A 25,979-nucleotide genomic window follows, 5' to 3' on the forward strand; every position below is an offset into this window, starting at 1 on the left:
GTCTTTCACAAGGTTCTATTTTATTCCATTGTATGCAGAGCTATGTAAGTTGAGTTGCCTGTGTGTGACTGTAAGGCTCTGGCTCTGGGAGTGTGAGGCAGAGCTTTAGACCTGACTGTGCGTCACACTCCTGGGGGGCTTGTGGAAATGCAGATCCTCACTCAACAGGGGTGGGTGAGCCTAAGAGTCTCCATTTCTTTGCTGTTTTTATTTTGAGATAGGGTCTTGCTATGTCATCCAGACTGGTCTTGAACTCTAGGCTCAAGCTATCCTTCTGCCTCAGCCTCCCCAGTAGCTGGGACTACAGGTACATGTCGCCGCACCTGGCATCTCTATTCCAACAAGTGATGCAATGCTGCTGGCCCATGGCTCACACTTGACTTGTATGATTGTGAGCAAGAAACTGGGGGCCAATGCCCAGCGATGGGAGGCTCTGAAGCACTCACCCAAATGGTTCTTGAAGAATCAGGGATGGTGCATCTGCCCCATGCCAAGTAAGGACTGTAGGGATTCAAGAAACGCCTTTCCTGCCCGTCAGCCACCTCCCTTCCACCCGCACAACCCCAAGCCAGCAGCTAGTGGATGGGAGAGGGGAGCGAAGGGAGAGAGAGAGGTAGCCACATTTCCTCTTTCACTGTGTACAAGGCCGTTCCAAGCTGAGGAGGGAAGAGCTTTCAAATTGAACCAGGATTCGGGATTTCCTTGTCAGTCTGGACTGGACTTTTTTGTTTGTTTGTTTGTTTGTTTGTTTTTACCCAAAATAAGCTGAAAAGCTGTAGAATCTGCCCTAGACCTCATACGGACAAGGCTCGGTGCGGTGGCTCACGCCTGTAATCCCAGCACTTTGGGAGGCCGAGGTGAGTGGATCACCTGAGGTCAGGAGTTCGAGACCAGTCTGGCCAACATGGTAAAACCCTGTCTCTACTAAAAATACAAAATTAGCCGGGCATGGTGCTGTCACTTAGAACCTGGGAGGCAGGGCCAGGCACAGTGGCTCACGCCTGTAATCCCAGCACTTTGGGAGGCCAAGGCGGGCAGATCACGAAGTCAGGAGATCAAGACCAACGTGGCTAACACGGTGAAACCCCGTCTCTACTAAAAATACAAAAAATTAGCCGGGCATGGTGGTGGGCGCCTGTAGTCCCAGCTACTCGGGAGGCTGAGGCAGGAGAATGGCGTGAACCCGGGAGGCGGAGCTTGCAGTAAGCTGAGATTGCACCACTGCACTCCAGCCTGGGTGACACGGCAAGACTCTGTCTCAAAAAAAAAAAAAAAAGACCTCACTCAGCCAGAGAGGAAGCAGCCCACACCATGGGTGAAAAGGCAGTGGGGAGGAAGAAAAAGCTGGCTTCCTGCAAGCCCCTGCATTCCACTGGCTTCACATGAAGGGGCCCCTGATGCCCTCAGCCTTGCCAAGGCCTCTGTTCTGTCTCCTCTGCTTCTCCCAGAGCTACAGGCCCTAAGACTGCCCTCCCTCTCCTGTCTCATCATTTTCGCTCTCTCTCTCTGTTAGATCATTCCCAGCAGCATGAAAACCTGATGCTTCCTTCCTTTACCAAGCAAAACCAAAACAAGACAAATCCTTCCTCAACCCCTTGCTGCATTCAGCCACAGTTCTCAGTAAAACTCCACAGGAAGTCCCCACATGCTCCAGTTCTTTGCTTCTCATTCACTTAAAAATACATATATATTTAAAATTGGGAAATATGTTTATAAAGGGGGCTAAAAAAAGATTTTCTTGCTCCTTGGATGAATAACAAACATCTCTGAGGCTTCCTTTTCTTAACTATAGCAAAGGATGTGGTCTTGCTGTGTTTTGAGAGCATGAAATAAAATAATTCTGTCAACCTCCACAGACAAAAGTAGGCATGTACTCAGTCATACCTACGATGATATATCATATCCTGGTAAGTCCCTGGATCACCTTCTCCTCCCTCCCTGCTCCCACCGTGTCTCAGCTCCTTGTAGGCTTCAATCTCTGGGACTGGGCCTGAGCTAAGAATTGCAAAGTAAAAATGTTATTGAGCCAATGGGCTTGCTGCCCGATGCTCATGGTAGCCAGTACTGTGGCCACAGCTTTTAAGAAAAGAAAGGCTTTATCGTGTAGCCAGGCAGCAAAGAGATAGGCTCAAGTCTGTCTCCTTGATTTGGGGTCTGGGGCAAGTTTTAAGGGGTCAGAGGGCAAAGGAAAAGATTCGGGAATGATGGATTGGCAGGGTCTGATTGGAGGGCTTCAGATTGGCCCATTTATGGTAAGGTATGTTGGGGTGGATTATAGTCCTGGATCTTCCTTCCAACGGACCCCTTGCTTCTGAAAGAGTTCCTGTGGTCAAGTTCCACTCATGTCCCAGTCTTCTTGGTTCCACAGGCAGGAGTCATGTGTTCCAGGTGTCATTAGAGGTCAAAGCTTTTTCTTTTGTGCATGCCTGGGCTGCATGACTTGCAGTCTTGGCTCTGTTATGCCTACAAGGTAACTTGACATTCTGTTATCAACAGAGTAGGCCCAATTTGGGCTGGTCCTGCAGTTACAAAATCAGCAGTCAAAAGGGCAGTAATGATCCCATAGACCATGAATTCTATCCACCAGCCCGCAGTGCACTCACAGGGCTCTGGTGATTTCTAGATCTTTCTCCCTGTTTCCATATGGTCACACCCTCTTCTTTCAGACTCTGCAGGTTCTGAGGGCTTTGATGTGCCAGCCAGGTGCTGTGGGGTTTTAGAGACTTACCCAACACCTTCCTGCCCTCAGGAGTTCACCAGAGGGAAGAGCAACGCAATCCAGACTTCACCCGGGAATAGTTGTGTGGCTTTGGCCGAGATGTTTCTCCTCCCTGAGTGCCCATTTCTTCATCTACAAAATAGGGAGAATAATAAATACTTTGCAGGACTGTTGTGAAAATGTCACGGTGAAACCTAGCTACTGGGATTCACACAACACAGAAATTGTTTTGTTTTGCCTGTTGATTAAAAATGGATCAACGTCATAAAAAGAAATGGAATTTACTTCTCTCTAAAGACACGTAAACACGTTGGAGATGAAAAATAATGTATAGGAACACACAGTAACAGCAGAGAGGCTGGCAGGAAAGCAGTTGGGGGATGCTTCAGTTCTGTTGATAAGTAAACCCCAACTTGCCATGTGAAAGCTGAAAGGTTACGTCAACCTTTCAGCTTTGGTGCCACCGCTAGGGAGCGTCGGTTTGCATGACTCTAGCTTGACTGCAAAGTGATTCTGCTTTCCCTGCGGAAGGGCAGAGACAACATAGATAATTGTCAAGAACTAAGCTCAGGCAGGAATTGCATTTTCATTTTCATTTCATTTCTAAATTTAGTTCTTAATCCATGTGACAAATATAATAAAAGAGACTGCTGAGTGCCAAGGGAGCAAGAGAAACCTGCATTTTGGTCTTTCCTTTGTAAAATACCTCCTCAAGAACAAACAGTATTACATCACAATGTTAATTAGATTGCCGGGGCTCTGGAGAGCACATTATTAGAGGAATTTATTAATATAAATCTCACGATAATAAAGGGACACTGAATATCTTGCTTTGAGAGGTTTCTTGTTTGATTTCCTGGGGGATTTCTTTTGATTCATATCTATCTGGAAATGAATGTAAAACATGAAAATATAGTTTGTGTTAATTTCTCTCTGAAATGTTTTCTGTTTTGTTTTTGCTTCTGCGGGGATGGGGTGCAGCAAGCGCCCTCGGAGCTGTACTTCTCACACACTTTATTCAGGATTAGAAGGAGGGTGTTCGCTACCCTCTAGTGGCTGTCTCTGGTCTCCTTGCCAGGTAGAAACTGCTGGGCCAACACCCCACAGAACAGGCATCCACCCACCTCCAGGGTCAGCAGAAGAGGCGAGAAGTCTCCAGGCCAGGCAGGAGAGGGAGACAGGAAAATTACTTCCCATGGGGCAGTTCCTTCTGCTCCCCAACCCCACTCCCAGGCAGGAGAACAGGCAGGTTACCAGCAGCTGCAGGAGACCCCCTGACTCCAGGCAGCACCCAAGAGGCCCCAGCGGGGATGGTAGGAGGGCTGGCCCCTCAAAGGAAGCTAACGCGGAAGCCACTCTTGCCTTGTGCCTGGGTACTGAGAGAGGAAGGAAGGAGGCCTGTGGCCCAAGGGTGCCCCTCACCTTGCTGTACCAACATGGGCATGCCATGAGGGCTGAATGTCCTCGGTGGTCTCATGTCCCATGTTCACTGTGCCATCCAGATGGGTTGCCGACAAGCCCTCCATGTGTGAGTCTGTATCTGCTGCCTATCATGGTGGGATAGGAAGGGTTGGGGAAGACTCTAAGTAGAGGGGGTGCTCCCTCTTGTGGGAGAGTCCCCAGGGACCCTGCATCCTGCCACAGACTGCCCCCCACCACCTCCACCCCCTTTCAGGGAAACGGCTATGGTTAACTGTGACTATACTTGTTATGATTTTCTTTTTAAGAGAGTGGTGTTTATTCCATGATCAGTACAGACCAAATGCATATGCACGGTAGGAAAGTCAAACCAGTCAGTGACTCCAGAGTTTGCCCAACACCGAGTCACCAGGGTCGTGATGTAGTGTGGGTTCTCATGGCATGTATAACCTCACCAACTTTGCATGATTTGAATGTAGAGAAGGGCAGTGCTGCCAGGCATGGTGGCACATGCCTGTAGTCCCAGCTACTTGGGATGGGAGGCAGGGATGGGAAGATCTCTTGAGATCAGGAGTTTGAGATCAGCCTGGGTGACATAGGGACATACTGTCTCTAAAAACTAAAAAAAAAATTAAAAAGTAAGGAAAAAAGAGAGAGAAAGTCAGTGTTGCCTCCCAACTCTTTAAGGAACATTTTTTGCCTTCGGAGAGGAGGACACTGAAGTGCAGAGCCCCCCCGTGAGCTCTGTCAGGACACCAAGGAAGCAGGCAGAGGAGAGCCCAGGCCTGGGGTTTGGAGGCTCTAGCTCAGCACTGTGAAATAGAATTTTCTGCCATGGTGGAAATGTCCTATATCTGCACATCCAACATCCAACACGGTAGTCATTTATGGCTACTGAGCACTTCTTGAGACTCTGGAGGTCCATGGATGCCTGTCCTACATGGTTGTTGGCTAGTACAGCTAAGAAACTGAATTTTAAATTATGTTTGGTTGCTATTAATTTGAATTTAAAAGGCCACACGTAACCAGTGGCTATGGTACTGGACAGTGCAGTTCTAGAGACAATGTGAGAGGGAGACCTTTGTAATCCTAGAGCTGTGTATGAGGGTAGTCTCAGAATGAGACCCATCAGCAACATTTTAAGAGTAAAATTGGTGATTAATGGTGCAAGTTTGCTAGTGAAGGCAGGCCTCAGATGAGGTGCACACATTCATTTATCCACCATCCAACAAATCTCTTCCCCGCTACCTTGGCACAATGTTCAATTAGGATTTATTGGGTCACGTGGTTGGCCTCCCAGCTAGACAGATGCTGAGGGCTGAGACCCTGCCCCATTCATCTTGGTATCCTTGGCACCACACACTGTTACCTGATGTGTTGTAGAATCTCAAAAGTTGTTGAATGCAGTCATTCATTGAATGAATGGAGCTGGGCCAGGCCTTTGGGGAGATGCACAGATCAATTAGACATAGATCATGCCCCCAACGACCTATGGTTTGATCATAATACTTAAAATACTAGACAAGAAGACTTGAGTGAAGGCACTGCATTGCGCTGGACACATAGTAGGCCCAAAATAAATGTTAATTCCTTTCCTCCCTTCCTCTCTTACACTCCCTCTAGGACTCACCCTCCAAAAATTTCTATAAAAGGGATAAAATGCTCAAGGGTTTAGAGGAGGCTAAGGTTAATTTTGTCTGGAGAACCAATGAGGGCTTCCTGGAGGAGGTAGCATTGGATCTAGCTCATCCAGATCTCTGAGCAGCATGAACAAAGACATAGAGGGATGGGGATCAGTTCAATTTAGTTTGAGGAAGGGTATATGAAGAGAAGAAGTAGAAACCAGGGTAGGAAAATCCTTTGATTCTTAGGCTACTGAAGGCTCTTGAGCATGGTATTATAAATCTGGATTTTATTACCAGAGAGACAGACATCCCTGTGCTCTCTGCAGACTCAGTTATCTAACTACTGGCTATGTGATGACCCAAGCACACGACTTCACTCCTCTGAGCTTCACTTTCTTCATCTGTAAAACGGGAATGATACTACTTATTCATTCAAAATACAAACAAGAATGCATAGTACCTATACACTGTTCTCATGGTTTTCCACGTGGTAAGCTTTTTTATATTATCACATACAAGGTTGACCTTGTATTTATTTTATGGTGTTATCCTAATTTAATTAACCACTCCTCTATTCATGGATATTCAAATTGCTTCTAATCATTGCAAAAAATTGTACATATATCTACAGAATAAATTCCTAAAGTGGCATTGCCAAACCAAAGGGTATACAAGATTTAGATTTTTTTTTTTTTTTTTTTTTTTTGTAGGCAGAGTCTGACTCTGTTGCCTGGGCTGTAGTGCAGTGGAGCAGGAGCGATCATAGCTCACTACAGCCTCAACTTCCTGAGCTCCAGTGATCCTCCCACCTCAGCATCCCAAGTAGCTGGGTCTACAAGTTTGTGACACCACACCTGGCTAATTTTTTGTATTTTTAGTAGAGACAAGGTATTGCCATGTTGCCCAGGCTGGTCTTGAACTCCTGGGCCAAAGTGATCTGCCCACCTCAGCCTCCCAAAGTGCTGGGATTACAGGCATGAGCCACCTGCGCCCGGCCTGAAATTTAGATTTTGACAGAATTACCAAATTGCTTTCTAGAAAGAGTGAATCAATTTCCACTCTCATCAACAATATATGAAAGGATCTGTTTTCTCTGCCTTCACTAAAAGTCTTACCAGAATTTTTTGGTCTGTACCAATCTGAAAGACTTTAAATTGCTATCTAATTGTAGTTTTAATTTGCATTTATTTTATTCTGAGCAGGCTTGGGCATCTTTTCAATGTTTAAAAGCCATTTGTATTTTCTGCCCTGGGAACTGCCTATTTGCAGCCTTTGGCCATTTCAATTTGGTTATTAGCCTTTTTCTTACTGAATGATAGGAATTTCTTATTTATTAAAGAAATTAGCCCGTAGAATAAGGTTGCAAATGTTTTTCCTAAATTGCCATTTATCTCTTACTCTGTCTATTTCTCTCCCAGATATTTTTAATCTATATGTATCAGATTGGCTATTCTTTTCCTTCGTGGTTTCTGGATTTCTAATCATGCTCAGGAAGGCCTTCCCTACTCCAAGAAAATAAGTGAAATCTTTGATCTATCTATATTTATTCCGGAGGGAGGAGACAGGGAATTCTGCTTTACTTTTTTTTCCACGTGGCAGTGGCCCTAACACCGTTTCTCAGGATTCCTTTGAACGGTAAGTGCCATTCAAGAGCCAGTCTGGGGGCCCTGCTTAGCGGAAGAGCAGGTATTGATTAGATGCCTGATGTATTTGGAATGCCATTTTATTTAATCCTCACCACTGCTCTGTGAGCTCTTGATATCCTTGTTTTTCAAAAGAAGGAACTGAGGTTCAGAGAGATGGAGTAAGTGGCCCACAGTCGCACAGCCAGGAAGTGGCCGTGCTGGGATTTGAATGCAGATCAGTCTGATTGCAGTCCGTGCTCTTTCTGCGAGCCACAATCATGATTCAAAGGGAGAAGCGGGGCTTCACGGAAGTATTGAACGGGTGACTTTTCAGACTTCTCATCCTCTTCATTCCTTCCCTCCAAAGCCCTCCTGTACTGTGTTAGGAGAACTGTAAAGCACAATAACCCCTGTTTATTGGTTCCTGAGCCACTAGGGATAGTTATGAGCTGCCCAACTGACCAAAGCGCCCTTGGCCAGAAGAGAGATGTCTGTCCCAGAAAAGCTGCCTACTAATCAGGAACGCTGACAATGAGCTGTTACATAAACAAGGAATCAACTTTTACTGTGTTCGCTGAAAGGTTGATTTGTAACAGCAGCTAGCTAGCATTAACCTAAGTATGGTCACAAGCTGCATAACAACATTTTGGTCAACGAGGGAACCACGTAGATGACGGTGGTCCCATAAGATTATAGTACCATGTTTTATTGTGCCTTTTCTATGTTTAGACATGCTTAGATACACAAATACTTACCACTGTGTTACGTTTGCCTACAGTATTCAGTAGAGTAACATGCTGCACAGGCTTGTAGCCTAGGAGCAGTAGGCTCTGCCATCTAGCCTGGGTGTGTAGCAGGCAACACCATCTAGATTTGTGTAACTACACTCTGTGATGTTTGCAGAACAATGAAATTGCCTAATGACACATTTCTCCGAACCTGTCCCATTGTTAAGTGACGAATAACTGTACTACAATTGTTCCGCAAGGATGGATCACACAGAGGGAACCAGATTAAGGGTAGTTAATCTCTGAGATCATTTCCTTTGTCCCTGGGTCCTAGAAGCAGTGAGTCCTCTCTCCCATCTTGGTAGCCCCAGGCCCTTCGTCCCTTCCTCCCCCTTCCCTTCTTCCTCTCCTTTTTCCTAGCTCTAGTCTTAACCACTCTTTGAGAGCTGAGAAGCTCACGTGCCAAGCATGCATCTGAATATATTCTGTCTCATGCTCAGGCCAGAGGTTGGTAAAAAAAATCTTGATTCCTCCTTTGGGTAGACTAGAGGAAAGGATAAGGGTCCTAGAGCAGTAGTAGTGAGGGGCAGAGGGGAGGGAAATTCACAGGAAATGCTCCGAAGTGGACCCTTCCACCTGCACAGTCTTGACTGGGCCTGCTGCAGGCTCTGTGGGCTCTACGTGACTAATTCCCCACCAGTCCCTCCAGGCCGGACACAGACCCAGCAGGGAGTCTGTCTTGGCTTGATTATGATATCCAGCTTTTGTTACTGTTTTTTCTATATCTTATCAGTGGGGAAAAGGGTACGGGCTTTAAGCATGTGTCCAAAGATAAGAGCCAGGCCTCACAGCAGTTCTCTTTGACCCAACACATGTAAGTTACACTTTGAGAGGTCAAATTTAACAAGAGAAAGTTGAGGTTGCCTTGTAGATGGTGGGTGGCAGTAGCAGGGGCAATGGAGAAAGATGATGGGAAGGTTATCAGCAAGGGCAAGACCCCAGAGGCCACTGGGAGGAGGCTGTCTCAGTAGAAAATTTAAAAATGCCTCCATTTCCTAAAAAGTAAGAACTAGGACTGAAATTAGTTAGACTGTTTGCTTTCTTTTTGTTTTTTAGAGATGGGGTCTTGCTACCTTGCCCAGGCTGGCCTGGAACTCCCAAGTAGCTGAGACAACGGGTGAGGGCTGCCACACCCGGCTTTTAAGACTGTTTGCTTTCTGATAACGGTGCCCCCGTCCTTCCAGATGACAGGAGCTATTCTGTGCTGACCACTCATTGACCTTGCTGAGCAACAACTAGAAAGTGTTTTTGCCCCAAATTCTTTCTATTTTAAAACTGATTACAGCCAGGCATGGTGGCTCACGTCTCTGTAATCTCAGCACTTTGGGAGGCCGAGGCGGGTGCATCAATTGAGCTCAGAGGTTTGAGACCAGCCTGGGCAACGTGGTGAAACCCTGTCTCTACCAAAACTACAAAAATTAGCGGCCAGGCGCGGTGGCTCACGCCTGTAATCCCAGCACTTTGGGAGGCCGAGGTGGGTGGATCACGAGGTCAGGAGATTGAGACCATCCTGGCTAACACAGTGAAACCCCGTCTCTACTAACAATACAAAAATTAGCCAGGCGTAGTGGCGGGCTCCTGTAGTCCCAGCTACTCGGGAGGCTGAGGCAGGAGAATAGCATGAACCCGGGAGGCGGAGCTTGCAGTGAGCCGAGATTGCGCCACTGCACTCCAGCCTGGGTGACAGAGCGAGACTCCGTCTCAAAAAAAAAAAAAAAAAAAAAAAATTAGCTGGGCATGGTGGCATATGCCTGTGGTCCCAGCTACTCAGGAGGCTGAGGTGGGAGGATCGCTTGAGTCCGCAGAAGTCGACGCTGCAGTGAGCTGTGATTACACCACTGCACTCCAGTCTGGGCGACAAAACAAGACCCTGTCTCAAAAAAAATTTTTTTTAAATAAATAAATAAACTGATCACTGTCACTCCCTAAGCACTGCCCATGATGCTGCAAGGATGAAAGTCCATTTGTACCTTTCCAGTTCTGGCTAACTGACTTCTTCTCTACAACTCAGTTTGGGTGTCATCTCTCCCAGGAAACCTTCTCAGATTCCCAGGTCGGGTCTCAACTCCCATCTCTGTGCTCTTGGCTGTCTGCATGTACTTTTCACATACCCTCCCCCTCTGTTCCTCCAAGGCCCTCTGGTCAGGTGGTAAGCCTCTCAAAGGCAGAGATTGTTCCTTACCCAACTCTGTACCCCGCCTCATCTCAGTGCCTGGCAGAAAGCAAGTGCTCAGTGTGTTCAACTAAATTCAACCTTTTTAGCTAATGTGGAATACTTTTCAATAGATGGTGCTAGAAAAACAAGTATTACATGATATGAATGGAATCTCAGGACTTTAACATTGTGTGGACCTTACCCGCCATAATGGGAAACTGAGGCCCTGGAGATGAAATGGCACACCCAGAGCGCAGTGGTGTGTCAGAAGTCAGGCCAAGCTGTGAGCACCTTTGCTGGTGGAACAACGCTTGTTAGTGACAACACAAACCATCTGGACTTAGGTTTGTTGGTATATAAAACAGCTGGAAACATGCTTATCAGCCACTGTGGTCTTTGTCCCTCAAAGTCTAAAAAATTCATTGTCTCTGGATTTTCTCTTTTTCAGTTCTACTACTTATCTGTCTTTTTGAAATTTGCCTTTTATTAAATTTTGATTATAAAAGTATATATGTTTATTATAAAGATTCTGGAATATGCTGAAAAGGAAAAGAAAGAAATTTTTTTTTTTTTGAGACAGGGTCTCACTCTGTTGCCCAGGCTGGAGTACAATGGTGAGATCACTGCTCACTATAGTGATCTGGAGGTTGAGGAGCCGCAGCTGCCCACCTCAGCCTCCCAAGTAGCTAGGACTACAGGTGCAAGCCACCACACCCTCACTCATTTTTGTATTTTTTGTAGAAAGAGGGTCTTGTCATGTTGCCCAGGCTGGCCTTGAAGTCCTGGACTCAAGCAATCCACCTGCCTCGGCCTCCCAAACTGCTGGGACTACAGGCATGAGTCACTACGCCTGGCCTGAGAAAATGTGAAATACTTGAATTCCACCAACCAGAGGCAGCCTGTTATTTCTATAGCATATTGTCACAAATAAATATGGATAACTGACTGGAGCGGGAGAGGGAGGGGGGATTTGCTCACGCCTGTAATCCCAGCACTTTGGGAGGCTGAGGTGGGTGGATTGCTTGAGTTCAGGAGTTTGAGACCAGCCTGGGCAACATGGTGAAACCCCATCTCTACAAAAATATAAAAATTAGCCTGGCGTTGTGGCTCGTGCCTGTAGTCCCAGCCACGTGGGAGGCTGAGGCTGGAGGATTGCTTGAGCCTGGGAGGCAGAGGTTGTGGTGAGCAGAGATCATGCTACTGTACTCCCGCCTGGGTGACAGAGGGAGATTCTGTCTCAAAAAATAAAAATAAATAAAAATAATATATATGATACGGACAGGAGACAGGGAAACACTAGGCAGGAAAGGGTGGTTCCCCCAGCAAAGGCCCTACCCTCAAGCCTGAAGATCCAGCAGCCCTAAATGAGGACAGGCATTCCTGTGTTTGCACCCAAAAAGTTGTCTTTTGGCCCGCCACGCCCCTATCCTGTACCCACATAAACCCTGAACCCCAGGCTCCAGAAGCAGACGAGCAAGCGAGGAGATGAGACAAGCAGATGGACAGTGGAACCATGCGGCAGAGAGAGAGAAGAGGAGGAACATCTGAATGCCAAGAGGAGTTTGGCTGGGGGCAGTTCAAGAGGGGTTCAGCTGTTGGACCGCCGGGCTCCAGAAGAAAATCATCTTCCCACTCCATCCCCCACTTCGGCTCCTCATCCATCCCACTGAGAGCCACTTCCACCCCTCAGTAAAACTCCCGCATTCATCCTTCAAGTCCGTGTGTGACCTGATTTTTCCAGGATGCTGGACAAGAGTTCGGTATACAGAAAGCTGTCACACCGGCCCTCTGCCCTTCCAGAAAGGCAGAGGTTCCACTGAGCTGTTTAACACTCAAGCTATCCGAGGACGGCAAGGCTAAAAAGGCACACTATAACACAGGCCCGCTTGGGCTCCTGCATTTGTCTATGTGCTCCCACTCCTGTAAGGGGTTTGAGCAGCTGTGGCAACTGAACAGGTGAGCCACACCCCTGTCCAACGTCCTGCAAGGGGCATCAGGGAACTCTCCCGTTTCATATACATGTATTTTATATGTAAATATATAACATATGTTACATATATTATATGTAACATATGGCATATGTTATATATTATATCATATATTATGTTATATATAATATACAATATATTATATATAATGTTATATATTATTATATAGTTTGCGTTATAATATAACTAATATAACCAAGATTGAGCTCTATGTTGAATTCATGTTTTTCTTCTTTCAGTAATTGTTGGATTGTGAGCATTTCTCCAAGTCCTTAAAAATAGAGTATTTTCTTTGTAGCCTTTGTGCTGCGAAGCTTTTCAATGAGTGCACTTTGTAATTAGTTAATTTATAAATAAAAAGAATCTAATAATAAAAATAAAAAGGAAAAATGCTACGTAATCTATTATTTGTAATAGCTACACGTTAATCTACATAGATATACCGTATTTTACCTAACATCTAGGTGGTTTGCAATTTTTCATTACAATAAATGAAAAATATGTTTATTTCATCATCTCACTGTGATGAGACAATATTGTCAAATGAAATATCTGCTTGTATTTCTGATTATTGCCTTGGGAGTAACATATTGTTTATGTTCTCAACTTTGAGGAAACCATTTTTCAGAGAACTGTTTTGAAATTCAGGATCAGCTCAAGAGATAATACTATTTTTCAGGTTATCTTAAAAGCATTGATTACTTTTCAATCAGAAAAAGGAAAGATTATTTTTAGTAAACAGAAAAGATATAATATAGTGAAATTATGGGAAAAGCCTGCAACATGAGACCTGGCCCTTAACATTTGAGAGACGAATTGATTTCTGTTTCTACCTAGAGGTGTAAATTAGGTGTTGATTGCCATTAGGTAATGCTGAAGAAGACATGTTACTTTTTGAACTATTTTCTCCATTTGTATAAAAGTTAAATAGTTTGAGTTCAAAGGTAAAGTAATTAGAAAGAATATTCTGGTTCATAGAACATGGATGCCTCCTTGTTAGCATAGTAGTGAGGAAAAAAATAAATAAATAAAAAAGAACATGGATGCCATGGATACCAGTTACTAGATTTAAGTTAGTAGCCACAGAAAATGCCAAACTAAAATAAAAACTATTTCCAAATAAAATGATCTCAGGAAAGACTTTCATCTTAGTCCCCAAAATATGAATTTTAAACATCTGTAGCATCATAAAATATAAACAAAGTAAAAACTAAAATAAAATTCAGGTTTGACAGATTAAAAATGCAAGCAAGTAATAAAATAGCCCCCCAAATGTTTCTATTTTCAGGTTCTAAAAATATATGGAAATCATAGAGATACTGGGTTATGGTGATTATACTTTGATTTCACAGACTTTATATCTATTTTTACCATATGAACATAGCCAGAATGTCAAATCTTATGTTACTATGAAATGAACAACAGAAATAATTTTTTAAAAGGTAAACCTTCACCTTGAAGCAGCTTTCAACATGGCATGTTTTCCAATTGCCCTTGCATCATTTTTTTTTTAATCACTAGAGGAAACTGCTTAAAAACAGGATTAACGACGGACAAACAAGATTACTATGGATGTGATTTTGAGGCTACAAAACAATTTTGAACTCACACAAGACTAAACCACTGAGGCTGTCTTCAAAACAAAGACTCGTGTTTCAGGAGAGAGTTCCCCAGGGAGAAAAACTGTAACAAGGTGAGCCCTCCACACACATCTTTCACTGATTTCTGAAAATAAAATAATTGCCCACATCCGTTACTATGCACCAGGAACTGTGCGGGGCACTTTGCAAACATTATCCCAGTCAACCCGGGGCACAGCCCATGAAGTGATTACTGTTAGGATCCCCATTTGACAGCAGGAGAAGTGGATTCTCCCGGAGGTCCAGCTTCTTGGGCTCCGGTGTGGCTGGGATTCAGTCCAGATCTGTGTGATGACAAAGATCCATCTTTTCAATCCCACCCCCTCCCTGCTCATTAGGCAAGTTTTTGAGAGAAAATAGAAAACAGACTGGACATAAAAGCAGGAAGGAAGACAAAGCCCCCCAAAACTGGTTCTCTAAACTAAAATGCAAGGAAAATGCGGTGCTTCGGCAAAAGAATAATGTAGGTTCTCAGAGGACGCTCCATGGATATGTGGCTCAAGGGTGAGAGCTAAAAATACAGCTGAGCGAGACACTTGGGTCAGACACTTGAGACACAGGCCCTTCTCTCCCTACCCTTGGCCTCCCTTGGAGAGCGGGCTGCTCCCACTGGCCTTCAGTCCCAAGACCCCTTTGGTCCTGCTTCCAGGGTTGCCTCAGAGTCCAGACAGGTCTGCCTGCCCCTATCTTGGTGCCATGGACTCTCGAGGCACTCATGCTGGCTGGAGTCAGGGTATGACAACTGCCCTGAGGGAGGTGCGGAAGAAGTCCCATTGCCCCCCGCCCCCCAATGGTCCCCTGAGTTCTTTGGTCTAGGTTTCCTAGTAATAAAACTGATGCTTTACTTTGCCATGTTGTAGGTTACTTGAGTACATTTACTCTTAAGGCCTGAAGGAGCTGGGCTGAGTGTGGGCTCTTAGATCTCTTTGGGCCCTAAAACCTATGCAATCGATTCAAAAAAAAAAAGCTATGGCCGGGTGTGGTGGCTCACGCCTGTAATCCCAGCACTTTGGGAGGCTGAGATGAGTGGATCACGAGGTCAGGAGTTCAAGACCAGCCTGGCCAACAAGGTGAAACCCTGTCTCTACTAAAAATACAAAAATTAGTCGGACGTGGTGATGCACGCCTGTAATCCCAGCTACTCAGGAGGCTGAGGCAGGAGAATCACTTGAATCCGGGAGGCGGAGATTGCAGTGAGCCGAGATCATGCCACTGTACTCCAGCCTAGGTAACAGAGCGAGACTCCATCTCGAAAAAAGGTGGGGGGAGTGCTAGAAAAAGGGGTAAGAGAGTAGTTACTCACGTACACACACTCACACACATGCACATTTGAAGCTCTGGCCTTGGACTATTTAAAACCTAAAATATTTATATTTAGAACCTAGACTATTAAAAACCAACAATCTTTGAAAATATCATTTTTGGCAGAAAATTCAGCCCAGCTGAGTTGATAAAGGTGTCCAGGGATTGTAACAGATACAATTTTGAATACCCTGGTGTTGTAGATGTGTCTACTTCAACTCGACTTCAGCCACCCAACACTAGCCCCTCTTGAATTCTCTTCATCACAGAATTGCAACATCATCAGTGTGTTAGTCCAATTTCATGCAGCTACAAAGAAATGCCCGAGACTGGGTAATTTATAGAGGAAAGAGGTTTAATTGACTCACAGTCCCACAGGGCTGGGGAGGCCTCATGAAACTTACAATTATGGTGGAAGGGGAAGAGGCATGGAGTGCCAGCAAGAGCAGGGAAAACTGCCTTATAAAACCATCAGATCTCATGAGAACTCATTCACTATGAGAACAGCATGGGGGAAACTGCCCCCATGATCCAGTCGCCTCCCACCTGGTCCCCCTCCCCACCACGTGGGGAATGTGGGGATTGCAATTCGAGATAAGGTTTGGGTGGGGGACCCAGAGCCAAATTATATCAATCTTTAAGGCTTCCTGAAATTCACCTCTCTGGTCATAATCCCATCTCCTCCTCTCAAATCTATTCTTCCACTTCATTCAAACTTGAGTTCTTGTATTCCTGTTTTCTAGCATTCTAGAGAACATGGGTCACTTGCCTACCGGGGATCCATTACTCCTTTGTTCCACACCAACTATTCCTTCCCCATACAGTCACTGTGTGGCCTAAGTGGATAGAAGTGGGAGATTTGTGACTCAGGCCTGGCCAACATATCTGTTCAACAAATATTTATATGATGCTTACTCTGAGTGAGGCATTGTTCTAAGCACTTTATAAATGTTAGCTTATGTAACCCTCATAACAAGTCTATTAGATAAGTACTATTTATCATCTGCATTTTAAAATGAGAAAACTAAGGCACAGAGAGGTTACATGATTTGCCCAGGGTGCACAGTTAGTAAGCTTTGCTTTCTCTGAAGTGGGGTGATTGGTTCAGGGATGAATATGTGACCTACAAGCCAACAAGACCCAATTACTGGGGCTTCTTGGCAAGAGACTTTTGGTTTTCTCCCCTGGACATGAAGCTGGGGTGGCTGTGAAAAGCAGTGCAGCCACCTGGTGATAACAGGGAGAAAGCTTCTTTGAGGATGGAGCCATGGTAGAACTGAGAGAAAGGAAAAGAAGGAAGAGACCGAAACAGTCCCAATGACAAAATGGGAGTTCCTGAGCAGACTGCCTGTAGCCAGCCTACTCCTGGCCACTTCAGTTTGGTGAGTCAGTGAATTCTCTTTCTCCTTAAAGCGGTTTGGGTTGAGTTATCTTTCACTGGAAATCAAAAGATTCCTCAAGGGTACAGTTCAGTTCACCAATCTCTCAATTCAGCATACATATCTTTTACTATTATAAGGTCAATTGATGAAAAAATGATATGCTTTGATGAACATAAACACTTAAATATTTAAATATTTCGTTTTGGTAGCCTAGTATTACACAGAAAAATCATAATTCACACAGATAAGCATCATATACACATAATTTCATAAGCACAAGTGCAAATGAGCCTGGTTTGTTTTTCTCAAAAGGCCAATGCAAAACTGTAAATGTCCAAATCAGTGACACACTTACAAAAAGTATGCACAAAGATGGCAGAAACTGTATTTTTACCTCCATTCTGGTGTAAACTCCTTTGCCTGATTTAAGTCCCCCTTGATCTGCTGAAATACTGGCCAAATCAGAGTCTCTTGATAATCTTCGTTTATGTGGATGCTTATGCTGCATTCAGCACTGTTTGCCTTCTGGTTTCCTTGCTGTCTTGCTTCGGATTCTCTGATAGTTCACTTCTTTGGTTTTTCTCTTTTCCTTTTGTGTTTCCATTTTTCCCACTTGTGTCTCCCGAGTGCTGGCATCCCCCAGGATTTTATTCCCAATAGAAATTTTCAGTATTAGTATAAGTAGTACGTAGGATACAGGCTTAGCTGCTGTGACAAAAAGACAACCCCTCCCCAAATTAATCAACAACAGTGCTCCAACGAGAAAGAAGTTTATTTTTCCTCCACTTGCTAGTCTGGAGCTACGCAGGCAGTCCAGGGCGGTGCCCCGGTTCGTCCTGTCCTGCTCTACCACCATTCCTAGGTGGTATCCTCATTTTCATGCTGAGGACTGCCGTACCAGCACCGTGTCAATGTTATAAACTGTCGCAGGGGGAAAAAGAATGGGGAGAAAGAAGGCAGCCTCCTTTTCAAAGGACATGACCTAGAAGTTGCATGTCATCACTTCCACTCACATCCCATTGGCCAGAACTTGGTCACATGACCACACAAAGGTGCAAGGGAAGCTCAAGTCGGGTGTCCATGTGCCTATTTCAAACTAGGGAGACTTATCACTAACATGAAGGTGGGAGAATGGGTCCTGGGGGCCACGAACAGTCTTCTCCCGGCCTTCCTCTCTTCTTCCTCCATGCGGTGGTCTTTGTCCATCTTGCCTTATCTCGTGGCTTTAGCTCTGCCCTACACACAGTGACTCCCAAGTATCTAGTCTAACTGCGTCCTGGACTTCACTCGCAGATCAGCATGCACACTTCCCCCTACTTCCCTCTGCCTTCCCTGTCCTTTAGAGGGATACCACCAACCTCCTCGTCATGCAGTCCCCAAATGTTGCGTCTTCAGCGCCCACTCCCTGCCCTCTGTTCTCCAACATGGAATGAATGACCATCTAAGCCCTCCTGCACATTTCCTCCCGCTCATTCTTCCCAACACTTGAGCTGCTGTGAAAGCCTCCGTCCTGGTCTCTACAGCCAGCTTTCTTCTTCTAGTACATCCTTACCCACAGCTCTCCAAAAGACATTTAAAAATTATAACTCGGTTCACATTACTCCCTGTTCAAAAACCTTTGACTGGGTTTGCTATGGTGGAAGATCTGAACTCCTTGCTGTGCAGGTACAGTTTACCCTCCCTGCATTTTCTCCTGTACTCTTGTAAACTCTGGGTACAGGAACATCTCCCCATCGCCCAGTATGCCCGGTTGCTCTTATTTCTGGCTCAGGTTTTTTCAGCTGTTCTCTCCTCTCACCCCCCATGTGCCTGGCAAATCCTGCCCATCCTCCAAGGTCCCCCTCTGGTGCCACCTCTTCCCGTCTCTCAGCCACTGCCCCAGCAGCCCCGCCCTGCCGTCCCTGCCACAGACACCCAGGCTTCTCTGCTTTCGCAGCCTTTTGCTTGGAAACTCTTTTAGTCCTGACCCAGTCTGCCTAGCTGTGCCCAGATGCCCCCTCCTGGAGGGCCCGGCCTAAGCCTCCTCCCGACGCGTTCACTCCCTGCCCCACCCTAAAGGGGCTGGCGCTGTCTCTCCGTCCTAGAAGGGGCTCAATGCCTCTCGGTGTTGCCGCAAATCTAACCCTAGGATGCCTTTCTTATTAAAGCGGGAAACTTCTGCAGGGGCCACGGGACAGCGTGGAGGGCTCTGCGCGCAGGGCAGAGACTGCAGTTCACTGCCCTGCGGTTTTGCACTTCGCCCCGGCCCTGCTCTTGGCTGCGCTCCGATGTCAGCGTGACCTGGAGTCAGCTGCCGCGCCCTCCCACACCCGCTCCTGCCAGCACCCCCGTCTGCTTTCCGGAGCTGTTCAGACTGCAGGGTAAATGCTGTCTGGAACCCGATCCAGGGTTTAAAAATAATCCAAAGGTCTGACCCACTGAGATCCTTCTCTAGATCTTCCAGTTGGGAAGCTCTTCCAGGCAGCACATGTGCATGATTTCAAAGAACCCAGGATGCAGACCCCCGCCCCAACACAGGCCACCCAAGCTGTGGCCTGTGAGCTGCCTGGGGCCGTTCCTCTTTCAGTAGAGCCACCCTTGGCCCAAGTTTGGGGAAGAGCCCTGGCTTTCTCCCTCCCTGTGAGGCTGCTGGTGCGGTAGGTCCCGCCCCTCCCTCCTCATCCCAGGCTGAGAACTTTTGAGGTTACAGCCAGATGCTGCTAACTGGGCAGAGACATCAGTTCCTTCAAGCTCGCCTGGCTGATCGCCCCCTCTCACCCTACTCCCCTAGCCGGCCAGCCTGCCCCAGGCCCTCAGCCAGCAGCCACCACAGGGTGAGCTGAGGCAACCATTTCTGTCACTATCTTTGCTTCCCAAGCCCTGTTTCGCCCAAAGTGAAGGTCAGGTGGAAGGTTCCAGCTCATGTTTTTCTTTGGGAGGCTGCCGTTGGAAGTAGTGCCATATGGGGACTGGGCTTTTACTTCCTTCCCAGGGCAAGAGCCTCATCTTTAGCAAAAGAGAATCTTCAAGGCTCTGCCATTTGGAACATGCTTCCAGGCAGCAGATGACACCTGCAGCTGTGACTAAGGCCAGAGCGAGCCAAGTGCCCCGGGACTCTGAGGTGGAGGGCGGGAGATGGAAGAACCATAGAAGTAAAAAGCAGAAACCCATTTAAAACTTGGTCATAAAAACTCATGACTCCTTTGGGTGGCTTAATTCCAGAATTGTACCCTCTGGTGGAATCCTAAAGAATTCTGTGCTTTTCTTTTTTTTTTTTGACAGGATCTCACTCTGTTGCCCAGGCTGGAGTGCAGTGGTGCAATCATGGCTCACTGTAGCCTCAACTTCCCTGGCTCAGGTGATCCTCCCACCTCAGCCTCGCTAGTAGCTGAGACTATAGGCTCATGCCACCATGCCCAGCTAATTTTTTTGTATTTTTTGTAGAGACAGGGTTTTGCCATGTTGCCCAGGCTGATCTCAAACTCCTGGGCTCAAGCAATCCACCCTCCTGGGCCTCCCAAAGTGCTGGGATTATAGGCATGAGCCACTGTGCCTAGCCCAAATTCTGTGAATTATTTAACACAATCCCACCCTCCTGCACCAAGACCACCCCCCACATGTATCTCCACCACCATCGAAAACCAGAAAGAAGAGGTTAGAAGGAGGTCAGAACTTACCTAAGAGAAGAACCTGAAACCAGTGGAGCTTGTATTCCTGGTTTTCCCTTTCCCTAGTTCCTTCAGGTTCTCCTTGACCTGAGGTCTCCTTGATATCCCATCTGGGCCAGCTCTTCTCTCAATCACTCAATAAAGAATTAATTGATCAGCACCAGTTAGGTGCCAAGTGCTGTTGTAACAAATATCAGTTTTTAAATCCAGAGGAATAAGAAATGTACGGCCGGGCGCGGTGGCTCACCCCTGTAATCCTAACACTTTGGGAGGTTGAGATGGGCGGATCACTTGAGGTCAGGAGTTCAAAACCAGCCTGGCCAACATGGTGAAACCCCGTCTCTACTAAAAATTCAAAAAAAAAATTAGCTGGGCATGGTGGCGTGCACCTGTAATCCCAGCTACTTGGGAGGCTGAGGCAGGAGAATTGCTTGAACCTGGGAGGTGAAGGTTGGCGTGAGCCGAGATCATGCCACTGCACTCCAGCGTGGCAACAGAGCAAGACTCCATCTCAAAGGAAAAAAAAAGAAAGAAATGTAATTTTATTTTTCTAAAACTTAAAACTATTAAATTAACTGAAATTCTATTTTAGTCCTCACTTAGGTTGGTGAGTTTGTAACGACTCATGAGAAAGAAGCTCCTTTCTCAGGCTTATGTGGAAGAAGAGTGGCTGCAAAGCTGAAGAATAGGCCTCCAGTCTTCAAGTTTCCAGGCTCCCAAGATCTGCAAATGTAGAGGCAGTTCTAGAGGAGACTTGGATTTTCAGTCAATGGGCCCTGATGAGACACCAGGCTCCTGGTTGCAGGAGAGTACAGGCCAGCAACAGAGTACTGTATTCTATTCAAATTCTGTCCCTGAATTTGCCTTCTCTTCTCCCTTCCAGAGCTCCTGGTTCAGACACTCCTCACATCATGTCTGTACTATAACAATAGGTTACAATCGCAAACAACTATTTTTGTGATCCCAGAAAAGAGCTCTTTTTCTTCTGGGAAATTCTCCTTCCCCATCTCTGATTATGTGTTTTGAAAGGAAACCGCCATTGCCTCGAGATCTTGTTATCTTGGCCCTGTTGATGGGACCAGAGATGGACACCTGACCCAAACCTGGCCAATGACAGCCATTCCTTGGGATAATTGATCTTGGGACAAAGGGAGTGACTGTCATTTCCTGGCACTAGTGACAGTGTAAGAGCTGAGGCCCAGGACCATGAACAGTCTTGTGTGATGTAACGTAAGTCAGCCTGAGAGATTGAAGCTGACACAGACAGAATCAGAGTCAGTCATGTGATGGAGAAGCCTGGCAGTGCCCCTGAAGCTCAGCAATACCTCTGCCCTTTCCATGGTCAGGTGAGATAATACAGTCCACTTTTTGCCAGTTGAATTGGATTTTTGCTAAAAGGACCCTGTAAATACATCTCCTAATGGGTTTTCCTGCCTCCAGGACTGCCAACCTCCAACCCATCCTCCAGATTGCTTCCAGATGGATCTTTCTATATTGCTGATCCAGGCACACCATTTTTCTGCCCAGAACTCTTCAGGGATTCCCCACCATTGAAGAAAAAGGTCCAAAATTGTTAGCATAGCATTCCTGTAAATTCTGCCTTCTAGATCACTATCTCCAACCTCTCCTCCTGCATTTTCCATTTCTTCAACTCACATGAGGCCACTGCTTTGTGCCAGAACCATGCTGTGTATGTTCACAGCTTTAGCACTTGCTTAGACTTCTCTGTCTTCCTGAAGCCATTTCCCTCTAAACAGACTTCCAGTTGTCCTTCAGGCTTCATCTTGGGTGATGATGATGACTTTCCCAATACTTAAACTAAAATCAGTTCCCTTAGCTTCCATTTTAAAGCATTTTATTTATGCATTCACCACTCAACAAATGTTTGTCAAGCAACTCCTAAGTGCCAGGTACTGTGCCAAGAGCCTGAACCCAAAAGACACTGCTCTTGCTCTCATGGAACTTATATCTAGTGGGAGTAGTGGGGAGGCAAGTAGGTAGTATAGATAGATTAGACAGGGTGATTTCTGTCTAGATGTAGGCACACTCACACACTTCAGTGGTTCAGAGGTGTCTGAATCTGGGGATACCAGGTAGGATAAGGGGCCTACGTTATAGGACTGCTATAGGATTAAATGAGTTTATACATTTAAGGCAATAGAACAATGCCAGGCATGGTGAGTGTGAGTTATTTATAAGCTCAAAGATGTATGAAAAACTCACCAATGGATGAAAGTATAAGCAAAATATGACACATTCACTCAATGGAATATTTTTCAGCCATCAAAAGGAATGAAGTACTGATACATGCTATGGCATGGGTGAACCTTGAAAACATGATGCTAAGTGAAAGAAGCCAGACACAAAAGGTCGCACATTGTATATTTCCATTTATATGAAATATCCAGACTAGATAAATCCATAGAGACAGAATGTAGACTGGTGGTTACCAGGGGCTCAAGGCAGGGGAGGAGGGAGCATGATTGCTTAATGCGTGCAAGGTTTCATTTTGGGGTGATGAAAATGTTTTAGAACTAGATAGAGAATATGATTGTATAACATTGTGAATGCAATGTGGTGGCAGGCACCTGTAGTCCCAGCTACTCGGGAGGCTGAGGCAGGAGAATGGCGTGAATCGGGCAGGCGGAGCTTGCAGTGAGCCGAGATCACACCACTACACTCCAGCCTGGGCGAAAGAGCGAGACTCCATCTAGCGAGACTCCATCTCAAAAAAAAAAAAAAAAAAAAAGAATGGGGTAGAGTTACATAGGGTAATTTAAAAAGACTTCTGAGACATATTGTCATGAGAAAAAAATGAATCATAAAGCAACGTGGTAGTGTGATTCTCTTTATCAATCACAAGATGATATGTATATGTTCATCAGTTTATAAATGTATAAAGAGGGGCTGGAGCTCACCTAACTCTAGAGAGTCGTTACTGCAGGGGAGACACGAGGGCATGAGGAACCTCTTGCTTATTACTTTGTACACTGAAATGGTATTGAAGCCCTTTTGATGAGACTCAACCCAGGAAACACAAATTAAAGACAAAATGAGATATCACTTTATACGCACCAGATTGGCAAAATTGGAAAGAACTGTAAGACCTATTGCTGGTGGGGATGTGGGGAAAGGGTGCTCTCATTCAATACTGGTGGAAACGGAAACAGCTGTGATACATTTTCACCTAGTAATTTCAATCATTTTTAAATAACAGCTCTATTGAGATGTAATTTACGTACCATAAAATTCACCCATTTTAGGCATACACTCCACTGGTTTTTAGTATATTCAGAGTTGGGGAAGCATCACACAATTAATTTTAGAACATTTTCGTTACTCTAAAAGGAATCCTGTTGCACCCGTTAGAAATTGCCCCCCGTTTCTCTGCCCTACCCCGCCCCCTGAAGCCCTAGACAGTCATCAATCTACTTTCTGTCCCTTCGGATTTGCCCGTACTGGACATTTCCTATTAATGGAATCATACAGCATGTGGCCCTTTGTGACTGGCTTATTTTGCTTAACATAATGCTCTCCAGGTCCATTCATGTTGCAGTAATCTCATTCTAAAGAATCCGTCCATTCCATAACAATAAAGGCACCAGTGCCTCTGGACATATGCAGGATGTTTATTGCAGAATCTTCCATAACAGTAAAAGAAAATAAGGGAAAGAAAGAAGAAAAAGAAAGAAAGAAAGAAAGAAAGAAAGAAAGAAAGAAAGAAAGAAAGAAAGAAAGAAAGGAAAGAAGGAAGGAAGGAAGGAAAAAGAAAAGAAAGAGAGAGAAAAAGAGAAAGAGAGAGAAAAAGAAAAAAAGGAAAATGGGAAACGCCATGAATGCCTGCTAATAGGAACACAAGTAAAGAAGAATGCATTGGCATTCTTTTTTGTTTTTTTTTTTTTTTTTTGAGACGGAGTCACACTCTGTCGCCAGGCTGGAGTGCAGTGGCACGATCTCAGCTCATTGCAACCTCCAACTTCCTCGTTCAAGCAATTCTCCTGCCTCAGCCTCCCAAGTAGCTGGGATTATAGGCACGTGCCACCATGCCCAGCTAATTTTTGTATTTTTAGTAGAGATGGGGTTTCACCATGTTGGCCAGGATGGTATCTGTCTCCTGACCTCATGATCTGCCCACCTTGGCCTCCCAAAGTGCTGGGATTACAGGCCTGAGCCACCACGCCTGGCTGGGAATTCTTTAAGCATGAAAAAGCAAGATGCAGAATAATGTGTATAATCTTCTAATTCATTCTTTTTCTTCTTCTAATCCAATTTTTGATAGACGAACTTAGTTTTTAAAAATGCTCCTCTAGGCTGGGTGCCGTGGCTCATGCCTGTAATTCTAACACTTTGGGAGGCCAAGGCAGGTGGATCAGTTAAGGCCAGGAGTTCGAGACAAGCCTGGCCAACATAGTGAAACCCCATCTCTACTAAAAATGCAAAAAAATTAGTTGGCTTGGTGGCACATGCCTGTAATTGTAGCTACTTAGGAAGCTGAGACACAAGAATTGCTTGAACCCAGGAGGTGGAGGTTGCAGTGAGTGCTGATTGCACCACTGCACTTCAGCCTGGGTGATCTAGCAAGATTTTGTCTCAAAAGAAAAAAAAAATGCTCCTCTATATTTAAGCCTTATGCCCAAATATGAAAAGACCTGACCTGGGTTCAAAGATTGCAGAGAGAAACCCTTGAATACTGCTCAGTCCTATCTATAAGCTTGCTTGAGCCTAAAAAGTATGAAAGCAAAGCAGACAAAGGGTATATCTGAGAGAGGGTTGTTCCTCGGGAGTCCCCTTCTCTTCCTCCAGTAGAGGGTCCCAGCCAGGTGAGGTGAGGAGGTTGCCCTGACCAGTGGCTTGGCCTTACGCCATTGTAAGGGCTCACCAGCATCTGGTTATGCCAAACATCAGTCAGTACTTCTGAGGAACTACATACAATTCCATTTATGCATCTGGATAAAATTTTACATATTTTAAGGCATTTATAAAGAAATTAAATGTAAAAATTAAAAAGACAAAGAAAGTATATATGCTACTTGGATAATTTAAAAAGAAACAAAATACAAAATGCCAGCTGCCCAACTGCGAGAAGGACTCAATTCTTTCTCCTCGCTTCCCTATCTTACCCCAAGGATGAGTTTTCTAACAGAAGACTGTGAGCTTATGAGCTGCAGTTTGGCTTCGTGCATTCCCTTAGTGATGCTTCCTTGAGCATATGAGCTGTTTTCTTACAAAATTCTACCATGAATAATTGAAGTTAAGCATTTCCAGTCAAAATAAATCAACACTGAATGGTACCCTTATATTTTCCTATTCTTTACAGCTTTTCTAATCCACCAAAAGTGGTAATTCAAATTAAATGGAATTTCCTTGTCATGTTGCTGAATTTTCCGGGTTCCACTAAATTAATTGCTAGGTTAAAGCAGCAAATGAACTACAAGGAAATGGCAAGTCAGAGGCTTACCCAATGTGAACCTAAAGGGAAATTGTTGGCTCTCATTTTTCTGGGGCTCCAGAACTTCTTAACTGACGCAATTCTTAGTGATGAGATACTTCAGGCTCAAATGAGTGGCTCAAAAACCATTGATGAGTTGATGATGTCATCAAGACCTGGGTCTTTCTAATAACACTGTTCTCTGCCATTCTCATATGTCGGCTTTCTATCCTTAGCCATGTTGCCTCATCGTAGTAGGTT

The 25,979-nt window shown here is 45.3% G+C and overlaps 5 annotated features.

Moving 5' to 3' along the window:
- Positions 1,447-1,946: an enhancer, noted in NCBI's record as "H3K27ac-H3K4me1 hESC enhancer chr8:103595853-103596352 (GRCh37/hg19 assembly coordinates)". NCBI's record gives its function as "activates a minimal SCP1, AML or CMV promoter by ChIP-STARR-seq in naive H9 embryonic stem cells {active_cell/tissue: H9 hESC(naive)}" and the evidence as "EXISTENCE:reporter gene assay evidence [ECO:0000049][PMID:30033119]".
- Positions 3,827-4,056: an enhancer, noted in NCBI's record as "active region_27767". NCBI's record gives its function as "activates an Ori minimal core promoter by ATAC-STARR-seq in GM12878 lymphoblastoid cells {active_cell/tissue: GM12878}" and the evidence as "EXISTENCE:reporter gene assay evidence [ECO:0000049][PMID:35858748]".
- Positions 8,106-8,616: an enhancer, noted in NCBI's record as "NANOG hESC enhancer chr8:103602512-103603022 (GRCh37/hg19 assembly coordinates)". NCBI's record gives its function as "activates a minimal SCP1, AML or CMV promoter by ChIP-STARR-seq in naive H9 embryonic stem cells {active_cell/tissue: H9 hESC(naive)}" and the evidence as "EXISTENCE:reporter gene assay evidence [ECO:0000049][PMID:30033119]".
- Positions 9,203-9,497: a silencer, noted in NCBI's record as "tiled region #4303; HepG2 Repressive non-DNase unmatched - State 22:ReprW". NCBI's record gives its function as "represses a minimal TATA promoter and a strong SV40 promoter by Sharpr-MPRA in HepG2 cells {active_cell/tissue: HepG2}" and the evidence as "EXISTENCE:reporter gene assay evidence [ECO:0000049][PMID:27701403]".
- Positions 19,139-19,228: an enhancer, noted in NCBI's record as "active region_27768". NCBI's record gives its function as "activates an Ori minimal core promoter by ATAC-STARR-seq in GM12878 lymphoblastoid cells {active_cell/tissue: GM12878}" and the evidence as "EXISTENCE:reporter gene assay evidence [ECO:0000049][PMID:35858748]".

The sequence above is a fragment of the Homo sapiens genome, chromosome 8 (genome assembly GCF_000001405.40).
Source record: "Homo sapiens chromosome 8, GRCh38.p14 Primary Assembly".
In the NCBI taxonomy this organism is placed as follows: Eukaryota; Metazoa; Chordata; class Mammalia; order Primates; family Hominidae; genus Homo; species Homo sapiens.